Source organism: Homo sapiens, chromosome 7, assembly GCF_000001405.40.
Source record: "Homo sapiens chromosome 7, GRCh38.p14 Primary Assembly".
NCBI classification, from domain to species: Eukaryota; Metazoa; Chordata; class Mammalia; order Primates; family Hominidae; genus Homo; species Homo sapiens.
In genome coordinates this window covers 47,287,654-47,303,829 of record NC_000007.14, presented here as the reverse complement: position 1 = coordinate 47,303,829, position 16,176 = coordinate 47,287,654, and the positions used below count along the sequence as shown (strand labels likewise).

Sequence of the window (16,176 nt, the reverse complement as noted above, 5' to 3'; positions counted from 1 at the left end):
CGGCTCCCCTGGGTGCCCTCATGCGGGCTGCAGCATCCAGGCATGAAATGGGGGCTTGAAAGGCAGGCAGCGTGAGCTCAGAGAGGGCCTTAGTGTACATATTTTGGAAAATACCTCCTGTGCTGCCTGGAGGGCCTCAGCACCCACTTCCCCATCCCTGTCTTCCCGTGTGGGTGACGCTTGCTGGTCTTCAGGTGTCTCTTTGTACCTTACATGCTGTCTTGGTCGGCTTGTCTTTTGAACAGCTCCTCTTCTGCAGAACGCCAGTGGGTGGAGAGCAGCCCCAAGCCCATGGTTTCCCTGCTGGGGAGCGGCCGGCCCACCGGAAGTCCCCTCAGCGCTGAGTTCTCCGGTACCAGGAAGGACTCCCCAGTGCTGTCCTGCTTCCCGCCGTCAGAGCTCCAGGCTCCTTTCCACAGCCATGAGCTGTCCCTAGCAGAGCCACCGGACTCCCTGGCGCCTCCCAGCAGCCAGGCCTTCCTGGGCTTCGGCACCGCCCCAGTGGGAAGTGGCCTTCCGCCCGAGGAGGACCTGGGGGCCTTGCTGGCCAATTCTCATGGAGCGTCACCGACCCCCAGCATCCCGCTGACAGCGACAGGGGCTGCCGACAATGGCTTCCTGTCCCACAACTTTCTCACGGTGGCGCCTGGACACAGCAGCCACCACAGTCCAGGCCTGCAGGGCCAGGGTGTGACCCTGCCCGGGCAGCCACCCCTCCCTGAGAAGAAGCGGGCCTCGGAGGGGGATCGTTCTTTGGGCTCAGTCTCTCCCTCCTCCAGTGGCTTCTCCAGCCCGCACAGCGGGAGCACCATCAGTATCCCCTTCCCAAATGTCCTTCCCGACTTTTCCAAGGCTTCAGAAGCGGCCTCACCTCTGCCAGGTAGGTGTGTTTCCAGCTGGTTGGAAGGGCCCCTCTGTCCATTCACTGGGGAAGGGAAGGGTTCAGACCTGCAGCTGAGCTGGCATATCTCTAGTGCTGGGCTGGGCACCTGGAGAGGAAATCCAGAGCCGTTGGGGTACTTTTCCATTTTCCTCGTCCAAAACCAAGCACTGGCTCAGGCTTTTCATTCACTCTTCTTGGCTTCTGTGTTTGGCCACCTTGGATTCCTTCCAGTTGTAGAAAGTGCAGACATTTGCAGTGGTTCTACTTTCCATGTCACTTGGGAACATGGCTTTTTGTAAATAACAAATTCCTTGTCAAATTAAATTAATTCATCCAAAACGTCATTATGAAATATTTCAAGTGTATAAGAAGCAGTGTGGTCTATGGGTTGAACAACACCAACCTTACCCTCTCTTTCCTCACTACCTTCCTATGTATTCTTAAAATGTATTGCAAAGGCTCAATCCAAGCATCCTGTTGTTCTGTTTTGTGTTATAAAACAGTCACTGCCTCCTCCAACTCAGTCATTTCAAAGGCAGGGTTCCCTTTCCTTAGAACATCGCTCGCTTGCTTGCCCTTGGCATGGGATTTGGACTTCTGGGATCACAGCAGATGAGAGGTTGCAAGAAGAAAAGTGCCCATCATGGTCACTGTTTTTAAATTTTGCTTTACAGATAGTCCAGGTGATAAACTTGTGATCGTGAAATTTGTTCAAGACACTTCCAAGTTCTGGTACAAGGCGGATATTTCAAGAGAACAAGGTATGTGGGGAGGATGAGGGCCTCCTTGGGCATCTGCCCTAGTGCCCGCTTCGCTGCCTTGTGTGAAGATGGGCCCTGCGGTGGGAACATCGGGCAGCCGTGGCCTTCATATGGATTGAGTTTGAGCAGGGCCCACACGTTATTCCATGCCTCCTGGGGACATGCTACAACCTTTAAGTTTTTATAGGGGAAAACTCACTACTAATGAGGGAGTTGGTGAGGAATGGGCCCCAGCCATGAGCATTCCAGTGTGTAGGGTGTAATTTCTGGCTGCTTGCACCAGCCACTGGCTTGCCAGTGATGCCAGCCCACAACTGCTGACTGTGAGGAGGAGACACACTCTCCTGCATCTCCATGAAACCAGAGAGGACAGGGTGAGGAAGCAGGAGAGACACCCTCCTCTGAGAAGTCAGGGACACTGTGTGTTTGTGAACACCTACATAAGCACTTAATAATGAGACCCGGTTGTGGACTTAGCCGCATGCCTCACACACAAACCAGACAGAGCATCTCTCTGCTTGGTACAATGTCAGGCTTTTTTTTTTTTTTTTTCTAATTTGAAATCATTAATACTAATTTTTGAGCAATGAATATTTGAATATTTTGAGCATCACTTTTTACCAGAGCATGAATAGAAGAGATGTGGGAGAGGAAGGCTAGCAAGCTCTTCTGGGCAGCCCTGCTTGGAGACAGCCCCTGGGCAATGAGGAGAATTCATAAGGTGCTTCCCTCGGCTGTGGGATGGCTTTTCTCCCTGGATGCTGTGTCTCAGCTGAGCGTACCTTCCTCTGGATACCTCATTTTGGCAGTGCATAGAGTTTGTTGCTTCTGGGATATACCTCAGAAGAGATGGTGTGTGACTGGCAAGGCAGGGCAGGGCCATGCCTCCAGTGCCTGGAAGACGGAGTCAGGATTCCTAGGAACCAAAGTGAATCCCGGTGGCCACCTGGTGGAGGCTGGAGTGAAAGAGGGAATGGGTTGGTTTAAAGCGGTGAGAAATGACAAGCTGCCCGCAGTCAGCAGGAGACCCACTTGGCTCCTCTGTGCCTCTTTACCTCAACTTCAGAAGAAAATCAAGCTCTCTCCTTATGAAGATGCCTCAGGAATGCCTAGAAATGAATAGTTGAGTGGCAGAAAAATAGCTCTGTCCAGCTCTCCACTGAAATTCTGCTATTCAGTTATGTAGATGACAGAAATGGTAAGAATGTGCATCTCTTATGATCTCAAAGAAGCGATTGTCATTTTAAGTGGAAGAGAGAGAAAAAAAAGCCTGTGGCCTGGAAAGACCTTCATTTCCCTGAATTGGCCTTTGTGAAACACTGCTCACCATGGCTGAGGGCCTCTCTGCGGCCGGATGCTGTGTGCCTGTTGCCACCACCCTGGCCCTGCTTGTGTCTCAAGAATCCCGATGACTGTGGCCCCCAGTGCCTCGGCACCTCCTCCAGCTGGCCAAACTGAGAGGTGCCTATCCAGCACCTAAGAGATTCTGCACAGACCCTTCCACTCTATTGGTGCCGTCTTCTAGGGCAGGGCGATGTGTGGGGCTGGATGCCCCCTTCTCTCATTGTGCAATGTCATTGTAGCAGGGGGGATCTGAAACAGACAGATTTGGGTTGGAGTGCACTGCTGGCTTCCTCGGCAGGGTAGCAAGGTTCGAGCCTGCCGCGGGGGTTTGCTGAGAGCAGTGCCATGTGGAAGGTACCTGCCCTTGCTGGCGCCTGGTAGATGCAGGATAAGTGGATGTGGATGTGCAGTATGTGTAGGGGCTGCTGTTGGCATGTGCTTGATCTTCAGCACACATTGTAGAAGGTTTGCTGGGAGGACCCCATCTCAGGATGGCCAACATGTGCATCGAGTGTTGGTTTTTCCAGCTGAGCTCTAAAAGGATAACTTTCATTTTCTACATATTTTACATAGAAGAGACCTGTGCAGACGAACCTTCTACTGCCCGTGTCAGAGTCTCCAAACAGCGGAAGGCTGCCCTTGGGTGTCATTTATTTGGATTTTAACTGTCAGATGTGCCTTTTTCTAGAAAAGCTACAATGACATTTCAGGGTGATGCAGGAGGAAAAAAAACACCCAGATAACCTCTTTGGGAGTGCAATTTGTCACATACTTAATTCCTTGAGGTTTCTTAAAGCTAACATAAAAATACCTCAGGAGGAAAAGAGGACCTTAAAGTAAAATCAAAATTAAGTACTACTGTCCCAGTTGTACTTCTGGGGTGTTGCTTCTCCAGATGCTTCTCCAGATGCAGGGCGCGACAGTGTGAGAAGGTGCGAGGAGACTCACTTGCCTCCCCTCCCCTCATCCCTGTCTCCAGGTGAGGAATGCGATGCCAGTGCCAGGGTGGAGCACGCAGCTGCTGTGTGCAGTGTGTGGACGCTCGTTTTTCCAACTTCAGCACACCAGGCTCCTCAGCCTACTTCTGTTTGGAAAAACAGCGGGTCTAAAATTCTCCTCTTACTCCCATTGCCTGTGCAGGAGAGCACAGCCCCCTTGCACCCCTGCAGCCTGGCAGCTGGGGCTTCCCTCCTGGCATGGGGAGAACTGGTCGGAGCAAAGCCCGTGTTCCCTCCACTGCCATCCACAGGTGCCCAAAGTCTCAGTCCCGTGAGGCTTCTACACTTTATTTACCACAGAGAAGTAGAACCATGACTTACAAAAAGAAAAGCTCTGAGGTATATCACAGTTGAAACAAAATGTAAGTGATCTTTTGTCCTACTTAGAGAAAACAAAAAAGTAGGCCCGGCGCAGTGACTCACTCCTATAATCCCAGCAACTTAGGGAAGCTGAGGTGGGAGGATCACTTGAGCCCAGGAGTTTAAGGCCAGCCTGGGCAACATAGTGAGACCCAGTGTCTACCAAAAATTTTTAAAAATTAGCTGGGTGTGGTGGTGTACACTTGTAGTCCCAGCTACTCAGGAAGCTGAGGTGGGAGGATCACTTGGGCCCAGCAGGTTGAGGCTGCAGTGAGCTATGATTGTGTCACTGTACTTCAGTCTGGGCAACAGAGTGAGAGAGCCTATCTCAAAAAAATAAAAATTAAAAACTGAAAAAATGTCATTCACGTTCAGCCCCCAAGTTTATAGACTACGCTGTGAGAAAACGTGCACCAGAATTCAGGGTTTATTCCCAGGGCCTGTGCCCTGCCCCAGGAGGCCCCCCACCCAGCCCTGGGTCCCTTGCATGGGCGGCTGCAGGCCTGGCTGGAGCTACCAGCAGTCTCGGGCATGCACGGTGAGCCTGCCTGTGTTTTCCTGCCCATCCTTCCCACTGCGTGCTGTTTAGAAGCTCCTGCTTCATCCCCAGGGGCATGTTGAGCTCCTCCCCGTGCCCTCATCCTGTGCACAGGGCCACGGTGCAGACATTGAAAAATGTGTAAAAGAAACCATTCGTTTCATCCTATGGCCAGACAGATGCCTTGGCTGTGGGTCCGGTCAGGCCTGGGGGCATGTGAGGGGCCTCTGTGGGAGTGCGCCGTGGAGGTATTTACTGAGGCATGCCGGGGGCATCCCAGCACTTACTGGTTCATGTTCTGCGCCCTGATCGCTTCCAGGCAGAGCCTTTGGCATTCCAGAAAGGCAGCATTTCCATGGCTGTAATTATGTATAACTTTATACTCTAAATCCCCAGTTTTCCCTTTTTTAAAATAAAGAGTAAATGTCTAGAAAAGAAATTCTGAGATGTAGTCTAGTTATCAGGGAACACTCTGGCTTGTCTGGGCAGTATCGAGTTGAGGTTACTATTACCCTAACCCACTCCCTCTTCTTGGAAATGCCAGATTTTGGCCATGAAGGAGAGAGATTTTTTGAAGCAATGATTATGATTAGTTGAATGCCTACCAGCCTCACCAGGGAAGCTGGGTGACCCACTGTGCGAGGCCCTGGGTTGGCGGGCACATGGGGAATGTGTCCTCAGCCCCATCCAGGCTGGGCCCATTTGGCCACATCAGCCATGGAGCCACGGGATAGGGGGCCACCTGCAGGCCAGGTTTTTGTTACTTCCTTGGTGAATCTTGGAATTTGTATTAAATTTTCAGTAACATTTTGGGTATGCCCTTTCTATCATCAGAAAATGTAATTAGAAACTTCTTTCCTGGCCAGGCGCAGTGGCTCACGCCTGTAATCCCAGCACTTTGGGAGGCTGAGGCGGGTGGATCACAAGGTCAGGAGATCAAGACCATCCTGGCTAACATGGTGAAACCCCATCTCTACTAAAAATACAAAAAATTAGCCAGACGTGGTGGCAGGTGCCTGTAGTCCCAGCTACTCCGGAGGCTGAGGCAGGAGAATCGCTTGAACCCAGAAGTGGAGGTTGCAGTGAGCCGAGACCATGCCACTGCACTCTAGCCTGGGCAACAGAGCGAGACTCCATCTCAAAAAAAAAAAAAAAAAAAACTTCTTTCCTTTTATGCTGTTGAAAGAGTTCATGTTCTCATGTTCTAAAATCTTTAAGAAAAATGCCACAGGGGGCAGTGTCCAAGCAGAGGCAGGGTGTTCTGCGACAGCCTCCCTCCCACTGCCTGTTTCTCCCCTTTGTGTATATTTGGATCTGGTCTTGTTTCTTACTCAGCGTGAGCCTTGGTTTCCTGGGCTGTCAGGTGGGGACCATCATTTGGACATCACAGGTATTGTGGGATTAACAGAAATCCTGTGTTCTTCCATGGGCAGCCCACAGGACAGTGCCCGGCACCTCAGTCTAGCTAAAGAGAGGGATGTTCCTGTCCTTTCTGCCTCCTCAACAGGCAGGCCCACCCATGAAACATACACGACACCACAGAGACCTCCCTGAAGGTCCCTCAACTGCATGGACATGTAGTTCTTCCAGCCAAGCAGAGGGATCCCGGCCAGGTCCCCACTGATCCAGTTTGCAAAAAGAGTAAGGGGAGAGGACCTACCCAAGGTTATGAGTGGGCATAGACCTTTGTCCACCCGGCAGACCTTCTTGTCTTTCTCCTCCCTTTCTCCAGCCATCGCCATGTTGAAGGACAAGGAGCCGGGCTCATTCATTGTTCGAGACAGCCATTCCTTCCGAGGGGCCTATGGCCTGGCCATGAAGGTGGCCACGCCCCCACCTTCAGTCCTGCAGCTGAACAAGAAAGGTAAGGTTACTGCTCCCTATTGATCTGTTCAGCTCATCCACAGAGAAACTCTGTTGGTTTATTTTTAGGCTAATAAAATAAAAGATGACTTTAACAATACTCACAAATTTTATTCTTAGTATTTATTTTTTCAGGTATATTTTACAAAGTTTTCACCTTATTTAAGAAAGAACATTAATTTGTTAATTTTATTTTCTATTGTTTTGAATAGGTAATCCATTTCATTGTTCAAAAATTAGAACCATGGGATAAGGCATCCACTAAGCCCGTTTTGCTTCCATTTCGGCTCTACCCCCCTCACCACCCTGTCACCTCCCTTGGGCAACCATCTGGAGTAGATTCGTGTGTGTCTTTTCACTGGTTACCTGTCCAAATGCAGGCAAACACATTTTTTATATGAAAACTAGCATACTGTTGAGTACTATTCTTGTATCTATACCCAGTAGGGCATTTTTAGATGGATTAAAAGTGATACTAGAATAAGCCTAGACTCATGAGATGATCTCTAATGCAGGTAAAGGACTATGCCTGCCTGAATCCTTTTTGCATTAAAAATCATGGCAAAAACCATAATGACTTTTGCACCAACCTGTAATAGAAGGATTTCTATTCCTTTGGGTATAATACCCAGTAATGGGATTGCTGGGTCCTATGGTATTACTGCCTCTAGGTCTTTGAGGAATCGCCACGCTGTCTTCCACAATGGCTGAACTATTTTACACTCTCACCAACAGTGCAAAAGCATTCCTTTTTCTCTACAACCTCACCAGCATCCACCAATCATATTTCTAAGATTGCTTGTAGCTGTTGTTCTCTTTGGAAGTTCTGGCTTTCTATCTTATGAAAATCCTACAGCCAATTGATCCATTCTATTGTTGGTGGACACTTGATTTTCAGTTTTCTTTTTTTTTTCTCCCCCTGCCCTTTTTGCCCCATTATACTCATCTTTGTGTGCTACCATGCTGCAGACTAGACTAAGGAAAGGGAAGCTATTCTTTCACTCTGTCTGTCTCCCCAAATGGAAATTGTGGACTGAGGGGACATTGCAGGTCGTTGGTTCCCAGTAAGGACAGCTTGATTCACTAGGAGTGGGGAAATCAGAAGCAGCTCGGATTTTAAACTCCCTGTGTTTATAGAAAAGTGAGACACCCACCTGGTTCACTCATGCTCTGTGCCTAATACCTGAGAGAATTTTTCCAAATTCTTGGATGAAACCTCTGCTTCATGCTTCCTGGAGAAAATCGCCTTGGAGTTACACCCTGTGGAATGTATGATTTGGCTGCCAGGAGGTCCAGCCTCAGGCAGGGCTGTAGCGTTTCCGGGAAACATAGATGGGTTCATTTTGGCACAGGTAATGGTGTGAGAGTGGAAGGGGTGGGGAGTGAGGCTGGGAAAGACCCGGGGCTCAGTCAAAGCTCAGCCCCGAAGCCTGTGGCTACTGATTGTCCTGAAGTGAAGTAGAGAGAAGGCGTTGTGTAGGGGAGAAAGGACAGATAATTCTTGAAAAGTAGGATCTTCTAGCATCCAGAATTCCAGCATAAGAAGCCCAACACGATGCTATTTCTGAGTGGAGATAAGGGCTTTTGTAGCTGGAGAGCTGAATTAGACCTGATTGTTGAGGACTGAAACTGAATAATGATGATGGCAGGAAAGAGGGTCGCAGGACCAAGAGCATCTGGCGAGTCTGCAGAGATGAGAGATTATTGGGAGAGGAGGAATGATGGATGGTTTTGGTTGGCTCCTTCGTTTCCGTGTAAAGTTTTAAAGCAAGGACAAATAACATTTCTGCATGCATTATCTTTTTGGAATCTAGATGAGAGTATATAACTGTTTTTACCTCTGTGCGTGCATCCTGCCTCTCTGACAGACTTTGGACTCAATCTTAAGATGAAAGGAACAAAATAGGGGATATTAGAATAGCAGACTTGAGGAAACCGAGTGTTGTTGGTGGCCTCTGGGTGAAATCTTATCTGACTGCTGTGTCTTCATCTTGTCCCTGGATTTGACATTCAGATTTCACAATCCAAGGATAGATTTGAGCAAAGAGTTTACCAGGTCATAAAGAGCCACAACCATTCACCATACCACCTCCAGTAAACTGGAGATGGGACAGCTAGGGACGTTCTGGATGCTGTTCTCCAGAGAGCCCTGGCCAGAAGGACTTCCCACTGAGCCATTTCTCACAAGTGGAATCCAGACCCACGCTTGGTGTCCCCTTCAGTTTGGAAGCCAGGCGTCATTTTCTTCCCACAACTGAATGTCAATATGTTCTTATCCCACTTTAATTCAACACAGCCTTTTATGGAATCTGATCATTTCCTTTTCTGCAAGCTTTACTGCCCTTGTGAAATGCTGACACAGTGATATTTGTCATGTTTATAAACATCTTTTGGAAGCCTACTGTGGGCAAGGCACTGGGGACCAAGCCCAACTCCAGTGGATCTTGCTGCCAGGAGGTTTCCAACACCAGAAATATTAGAAGTTTAGGCAGACATGCCCCAATGGAGGGTGATGAAGGAAGCACTGGATCCCAGAAATACAGCACACTGTGAAGGTCTGTTGGACTCATTAGCATAGGGCAGTGACTTCTTGTTCTTTTGGTTGTGCTGTTTGTACTTTTCCACTCTCAGATAGTTTTGCCATTCAGTGGCTTTTTATGATGTGTTTTCTCTTTGGACTCATGGGCTGGCCTAAAGCAGATGCACTGTTTACTGTTAATAGCAATGTGGTAGAGTGCTGCTCCCGTGCAGCTGAGTGCTTGCTTTCTGGAAGGTTTTAAAGATCCAGGCTCCTGGTTAAATCCCACCCAGAAGACTGACCTCCTTCCAGCTCTTTTCAGTGATTCATTATAGGTATCATTTTGTGTCTGAGCCTTTCTCACCTCTCCTCTTTGGGAGAGGATTCAGCTGGAGATTCATGATCCTCTTTCTTAGCTGCAAGCTCATTCCCTTCGTTGGGGATTCTTGCACAATGTTTGAGGGCCTCTCCCAAGGGACCTCTCCAGCCCCCACACTGTCATTGCAAGGGTTCCCGCCCTGTATCTGGCCTAGCCTGTGCTCATCCAGCTGTCCTGCAGCCCGGCTACCATTCCTAGGACGAAGATGGTTCTTGGCAGCCTCTTTTGCAGTGACTGGACTCGTATTCAGAGAAGAGCCTTTTCAACTGTAGCTCCTGGCTTTTATGTTCTCTCTATTGAATTCTCCCATGCTCCCATTTTCAAAAAATTCTTCTTTCTTTAAATTTCTTGCCACAGCTGGAGATTTGGCCAATGAACTCGTCCGGCACTTTTTGATCGAGTGTACCCCGAAGGGAGTGCGGTTGAAAGGGTGCTCGAATGAACCATATTTCGGTGAGTTGCTTGAGAGGTTGCTGTCAATGTTCTGAACTCATGAGGCCTGGATTCCCTCTGCTCACCAACCTGAGATTTGGGACTATCACTCTTATGGTGGTTTACTCATATTTCAGTCCCCAGTTCTGAAATCCTGCTGATCTGCATTATTATCTTTAAGATAAACTAGATTTGAAGTTGTTCTTAAAAGCTCTGTCAAAACCAAACAAATGAAAAGCACCATATCAGACGTAGGAATTACAGACGTCAATAAGATTCTATCCTAGTTGGCAGGCAGGTAAGTCCTGAGAAGGTTGGAGCTCCAGCATGACCCTATCCCACAGCACAAGGAACAACATAGAGCTCCCAACAGAGCACCCTCCCTTCCCTGCAAATTGGGAGCCTTCCCTACCTCACGAGCTTGTTGGAAAGATGACTTGAGCAATCCACACAAAGCACAGTGCAGCCTTAGGCATCATTGTTATTAGAGCTTTGTTAAGAAGCATTGTGCAGGGGTAATATATATGGTTGAAGTTGGAGTTGGCTTGATGTCAACCCTCCTGATTCAAGATCCAACAAACTGTATGCTTTAGTCTTTATATAATTTGGTAATGATGTGTCTATGATAAGAATGATAAACAGTTCCATTTACTTACCTCTCAACTATCTTGTGGAACTTTATACTTCTTTGAAGTTTTACACAAAGCTGCACACTAATCTAACATACCAGTTGCTAAAAAGATAAGGGCTCAGCCTTTGCATCCGTTTCATTCCAGCTGATAAATTGGCTGAGCACACAACATCTACAGCAGTTGTTGACTCTTGTTTGCTGTCTGTCCACTTTGCAGGGAGCCTGACGGCCTTGGTGTGCCAGCATTCCATCACGCCCTTGGCCTTGCCGTGCAAGCTGCTTATCCCAGAGAGAGGTAAGGGGTCCTCAGTGCTAGTCAGGCTCTGTGTAGATTGTCTGCAGTCAAGGCCACCGGTTTTAGAGATCCATGAAGATCCACTGAGAAAAATAATAAGACTGGAAGTTTTTTCGTATTCTCTTGGTTGAACCCAAGAAAAGGCCAATGAGTTCATCCAAATTAAGGAGAGAAGAGGAGATTCTACTTCACTGACAGCTCCCAGATAGCTTTACATCATGGATTTTGATGAAAGATTTCTATAGAGCAAAGATTCTGTAGTTTAAAAATATAAAACCCTCAGACAAAGAAGGCTTCAGGGTCATTGACATTTAATTTTTACGTTTCTACGGAATGGGCAAAATGTTGATGTTGTTGAACTTAGATGATGGATGCACTGTTCTTTTTACTTTTATGTTTGTTAAACAATATCCATAATGAAATTAAATAACACCCACAGCATGTCAGGGCGATGTGACCGTATGTCCCACTTTCCTAAGCAGTCACAACTTCACATAAAAATGGTCTAACTTAATATATAGGTAAATGTGATTTACTTTTCAAAGTGTCATTGTTCATATGACTAATTCGGTGATTAGAAAAATATTTTGTTAGGCCTTGTCATCTCTACTTTTATTCAGAATGTGATCATGGTTTCTATGGGCCAAATTATTGTCCCAAAGAGAAACTCTTGACTCTGCAAAACCATTGCATGTCACCATCTGGGAATTCTGTCATCAAATTGTCTAACTTTGTCATGAGGATTCTTGGTCAGGAGCAGGACTCATTTCTGTATTTTCTTGCCCCTTCCTACAGATCCATTGGAGGAAATAGCAGAAAGTTCTCCCCAGACGGCAGCCAATTCAGCAGCTGAGCTGTTGAAGCAGGGGGCAGGTCAGTAAATGCAGCTCCATTTCTACATCTGGTGACTGGGGAGAAAAAGGACTCACTGACACAACTTCCTTTTGCACTTCAGTATTCAGGTTTCCTTTCTTTTCTGTGAGCCTTGAAGGAGGTTTCCTTTTATAGAAGCTTGCACAGAGCTGGGTGGGGTGCAGTTGTTGGGACATCAGCAAGGCCTTCATGGGCCGGTCTAACTCAAGCAAGACTAAATTCAGTGGAATAAATGTCAAGCCCTGGATTTAGTTTGGGGGAAAATATAGTAAGACAGGATGTGGGTGATCTGTCTCGGCAACTGTAAATGTAAAAATGTTCCAGAGACATGACTCAACAAGTCACTTGACATGAGTCAATGATTTGACCCACACTGCCAGCAACCCCAGTGAGACATACAACACCCAAGAACCAGCTCGCCAGACAGAGCAGGTCACTTAAAAAAATTATTCATAGAGTTTCTTTTTTAGAGCAGTGACAGATTCACAGCAAAATGGAGAAGAAGGTACAGAGATACACCATATACACGCATAGCCTCCCCGCTGTCAACATCCCCCAGCAAAGTGATGCACATGTTATGGTTGATGAACCTGCATTAACACAGCCTCGTCACCTGAGTCCCTAGTTTAGGGACTTGATATTTAGGTTCACCTTGATGTCATGCATTCTACAGGTTTGGACAAATGCATAATGACAGGTAATCACCGTTACAGTATCATAGTGAATAGTTTTATTGCCCTAAAAATCCTCTGTGCCTTTTCTGTTCGTTCTCCCTCCCCCACCAACCCCAAGCAACCACTCATATTTTTATTGTCTCCATATTTTCAACTTTTCCAGTATTGTCATATAGTTGAAACCATACAGTTCATAGCCTTTTGAGGTTGGCTCCTTTCACTTAGTCATATGCATTTAAGTTTCCTCCATGTGTTTTTATGGCTTGATAGCTCATTTTTTTTTAGCAGCAAATATTTCCTTGTCTGGGTGTATCAGTTTAGTAACCCATTCACCTACTAAAGGACATTGTGGGTGCTTTCAGGTTTTGGCAGTAATGAATAATGCTGCTCTAAACACCCATGTGCAGGTTTTTGAGTGGATATAAGTTTTCAACTCCTGTGCGTAGATACCAAGGAGCGCATTCCTGGATTGTATGGTAAGAGTGTGTTTGGTTTTATAAGGTACAGGCAAACTGTCTTCCAATGTGGCTGTCCCATTTTGCATTCCCACTAGCAATGAATGTGAGTTCTTGTTGCCCCACATCCTCTCCAGAATTTGGTGTTGCCAGTGTTCTGGAATGTGGCCTTTCTAATAGTAGCGTAGTGGTATCTCATTGTTTCTGATGACTTATGATGTGTAGCACCTTTTCATATGCTTATTTACCATCTGTATATCTTCTTTGGTGAGGTGTCCATAAAGGCCTTTGGCTTGTTTGTTTAATTGGGTTTTGTTTTCTTATTGTTAAATTTTGGGAATTCTTGGTGTATTTTAGACACTAGTCCTTTACCTGATAGGCCTTTTGAAAATATTTTCTTCCATTTCATGGCTTGCCTTTTCATTCTTCTACAGAGCAGAAGTTTTTAATTTTAATAAAATCCAGCTTATTGATTTCCTGTTTTATGGATTGTGACTTTGGTATTGTATCTTAAAAGTCACCACCAAACCCAAGGCCAGCTAGATTTTATAGTTTCAAATTTTACCTTTAAGTCTGTGATCCGTTTTAAGTTAATTTTTGTGAAGGAAGTAAGGTCTGTGTCTTGATTCATTTTTTATTTTTTTGCCTGCAGATGTACAGTTGCTTCTGTACCACCAGTTGAAAAATCTGTCTTTTCACAGTTGTATTCCCTTTGCTCTTTTGTCTAAGATCAGTTAACTATATTCATGTGGGTCTACTTTCGAGTTCTTTAATTGACCTATTTGTTCTTTCACCAATATCACATTTTCTTGATTGCTTTAGCTTTATAGTAATCCTGGAAGTCAAATAATGTCAGTCCTCCAACTTTGCTCTTCTCTTTCAATATTGTGTTTGCTATTTTTGATCTTTTGCCTTTCTGTATTAACTGTAGAATCACTTTGTTAATATCCACAAAATAAGTTGCTGGGATTTTTATTGAGATTGCATTGAATCTATAGATGAAATTAGGAAGAACTGACACCTTGGCAAAAGTTGAGTCCTGCTGTCCATGAATATGGAATATCTCTCCATTTATTTAGTTTTTTGTATCTTTCATCAAAGTTTAATAGTGTTCCTCATATAGATCTTGTCTATAGTTTGTTAGATTTATATGTAAGTAGTTTTTGGGAGGTGCTACTGTAAATGGTATTGTGTATTTAATTTCAAATTTTACTTGTTTATTGCTGGTCTGTAGGAAAGCAGTTGACCATTTGTACATTAACCTTGTATCCAGCATCTTTCTGTAATCGCTTACTAGTTCCAGGCCAGGTTACTTTTGCAGCATTAGATGCAGTCGTAGTGGCCCCAGTTTAAGAAGGTTGTAAACAAACCACACACCATAGGGCTCTTGTGGTTCTGTGGCCATGAGGGAGGGACACAGCTAGAGAGGACAGTGGGGACTGCTGACTTTCAAACCCTGACTTTCAAAACTGTTTTAAGTTTTTCATGCAAGGTAGGTGTTTATTGTCAGAAATGTTGGGGAGGGAATTTCTGAGTCTGGTAGAAAATTGGACTAGAAATACCTCCATTCTGTACCTCATATCTGCAGAGTAGTTTACAGGTGTAACTCCACAATGAAGGTGTATGAAATGTATAGGCATTTTCTTATTTCCTCTACAATTTGTATTATTCTTCTATGTAGCTTTTCCCTGTAAAATTATACATCACTGTGTCTGTTACCAAGCTAAAGTAAAATTACTCTGTTTTGAATGGAATTTTGTAGTGTTTAAGTTATTTTAGACTCTCCTTATAGGATAAGTTATCTGTGGCCAAAACAAAGGTGAAAATAGCTTGCCCCAAATTGCAAGTGTGCTAAAACTCGAAGCTCCAAAATGAAAAATGTAGCTGTGGTCATGGGTTTCCGGCCATGTTCTGCTACTCAGGATTTTGATCTCTGGCAAATCACTTAGCCATGCGGACCTGAGGTTTGTATCTGGTCAGTGGGGATAATAATATTTCCACACATAGCAGTTGAAAAGATTAAATGAATAGGACATTGACAATGCCTTGGGAGCATTTTTCTGGCCCAAGAGGAATGGCCTTTCCTGGGAAGCCGGCCTCACCCTTTCCCTTGTGAGGGACCTGGGCTGGTCCTGGGCCACAGCCCCTAAATCTGTTTTAGGGGGTCCCTGGAGCCCATCATGGTTCTTAGCTTTCTTCTGTTAAAGTAACAGTGGACCCTGTCTGTGGGTCCCAGTGAAGTGCCCAGAAGGATGCAGGAATTTACTGTAGACCTATCTGATGAGCAGCTCACTCACTCTCAACTGAGGAGACAGGGCTACAAAACCAGCTCCACTCTGATGGATTTATTTGTTTCAGTTGCACCTTTTAAAAATGTATTTGAAATTTTGAAAACCTTTAATTAGTGGTTTTAAAATCACAACTTATGCATCGGCAGTGTTCAAGAAAGCGCAGAAGAACGGTGATAGCAACAGGCACAGAGCACTTGTCCTGCCCAGCTTATTGTCTCCTCCCCTTCACCCACAGGGCGTGTGGGTGTAGTGTCCTGTCATCCCATGTCATAGACAGAGGACCCAAGTTGGCAGCTCTGGCTCCTGAATGGTAGATCTAGGCCTGGCATTCAGCTCCCACGTCCAGCTGTGCCCATATTGTCTCAGGGACACAGCCCTGCCCATTCAGCCCTATATGGTAGCACCAGGGCACACGCAATTTCACTTTTCTCCTTAAGCTTCTTAGTTATCCTGCATTCACCCAGTAAGTGTGGAATTAATAAATGAATTGAATGAATTTAGTTGATCATAACAGTGCATCCTAATAGCACTTGTTTTTAGATATTAAAACTTTCTCTTCTATCTTGACTTATCATTTTTAAGTGCACTTCCATCTTTTAAAATTACGTATGAAATGTATCAATAACTCCAAATGTTTTTTAAGGGTGGGTCTTCTTAGAGTCAAGACTTCATTCAGAACTTGGAGTTTGTATCTGATCATCTGAGTTGGGCATTTATATATGAAGCTTAAATTATGACTGCCTTGAGCTTCTTTCCTTTAAAAATCTCATTTCTGAAACACATTGAGAGCTGCGAATGTCTGCTGTCCATTACATTAACCGCGATTCCAAGCCACGGAACCAGGACAGCAGATCTGTCACCAGAGGAGTGAGGCTGTCACA

At 45.8% G+C, this 16,176-nt stretch overlaps 1 protein-coding gene across 25 annotated transcripts in view, besides 2 other annotated features; it reads left to right on the top strand.

Annotated features, from left to right (window-relative positions):
• Positions 1 to 16,176, top strand: part of TNS3 (tensin 3) — a 307,433-nt gene that overhangs the window by 278,757 nt on the left and 12,500 nt on the right. For all 25 annotated transcript variants that reach the window (XM_047420733.1, XM_047420729.1, NM_001410878.1 and 22 more), the window contains 6 exons: positions 246 to 880; positions 1,558 to 1,644; positions 6,617 to 6,748; positions 10,002 to 10,097; positions 10,925 to 11,002; positions 11,798 to 11,875. In XM_047420733.1, the coding sequence (XP_047276689.1) occupies positions 246 to 880; positions 1,558 to 1,644; positions 6,617 to 6,748; positions 10,002 to 10,097; positions 10,925 to 11,002; positions 11,798 to 11,875 (1,106 nt within the window). The remainder of the gene's footprint in view (positions 1 to 245; positions 881 to 1,557; positions 1,645 to 6,616; positions 6,749 to 10,001; positions 10,098 to 10,924; positions 11,003 to 11,797; positions 11,876 to 16,176) is intronic.
• Positions 9,568 to 10,767: an enhancer, noted in NCBI's record as "BRD4-independent group 4 enhancer chr7:47332661-47333860 (GRCh37/hg19 assembly coordinates)". NCBI's record gives its function as "activates an origin of replication core promoter dependent on BRD2, P300/CBP, MED14 and CDK7 cofactors, and independent of BRD4, by STARR-seq in HCT116 cells {active_cell/tissue: HCT116}" and the evidence as "EXISTENCE:reporter gene assay evidence [ECO:0000049][PMID:35650434]".
• Positions 11,991 to 12,350: an enhancer, noted in NCBI's record as "active region_25976". NCBI's record gives its function as "activates an Ori minimal core promoter by ATAC-STARR-seq in GM12878 lymphoblastoid cells {active_cell/tissue: GM12878}" and the evidence as "EXISTENCE:reporter gene assay evidence [ECO:0000049][PMID:35858748]".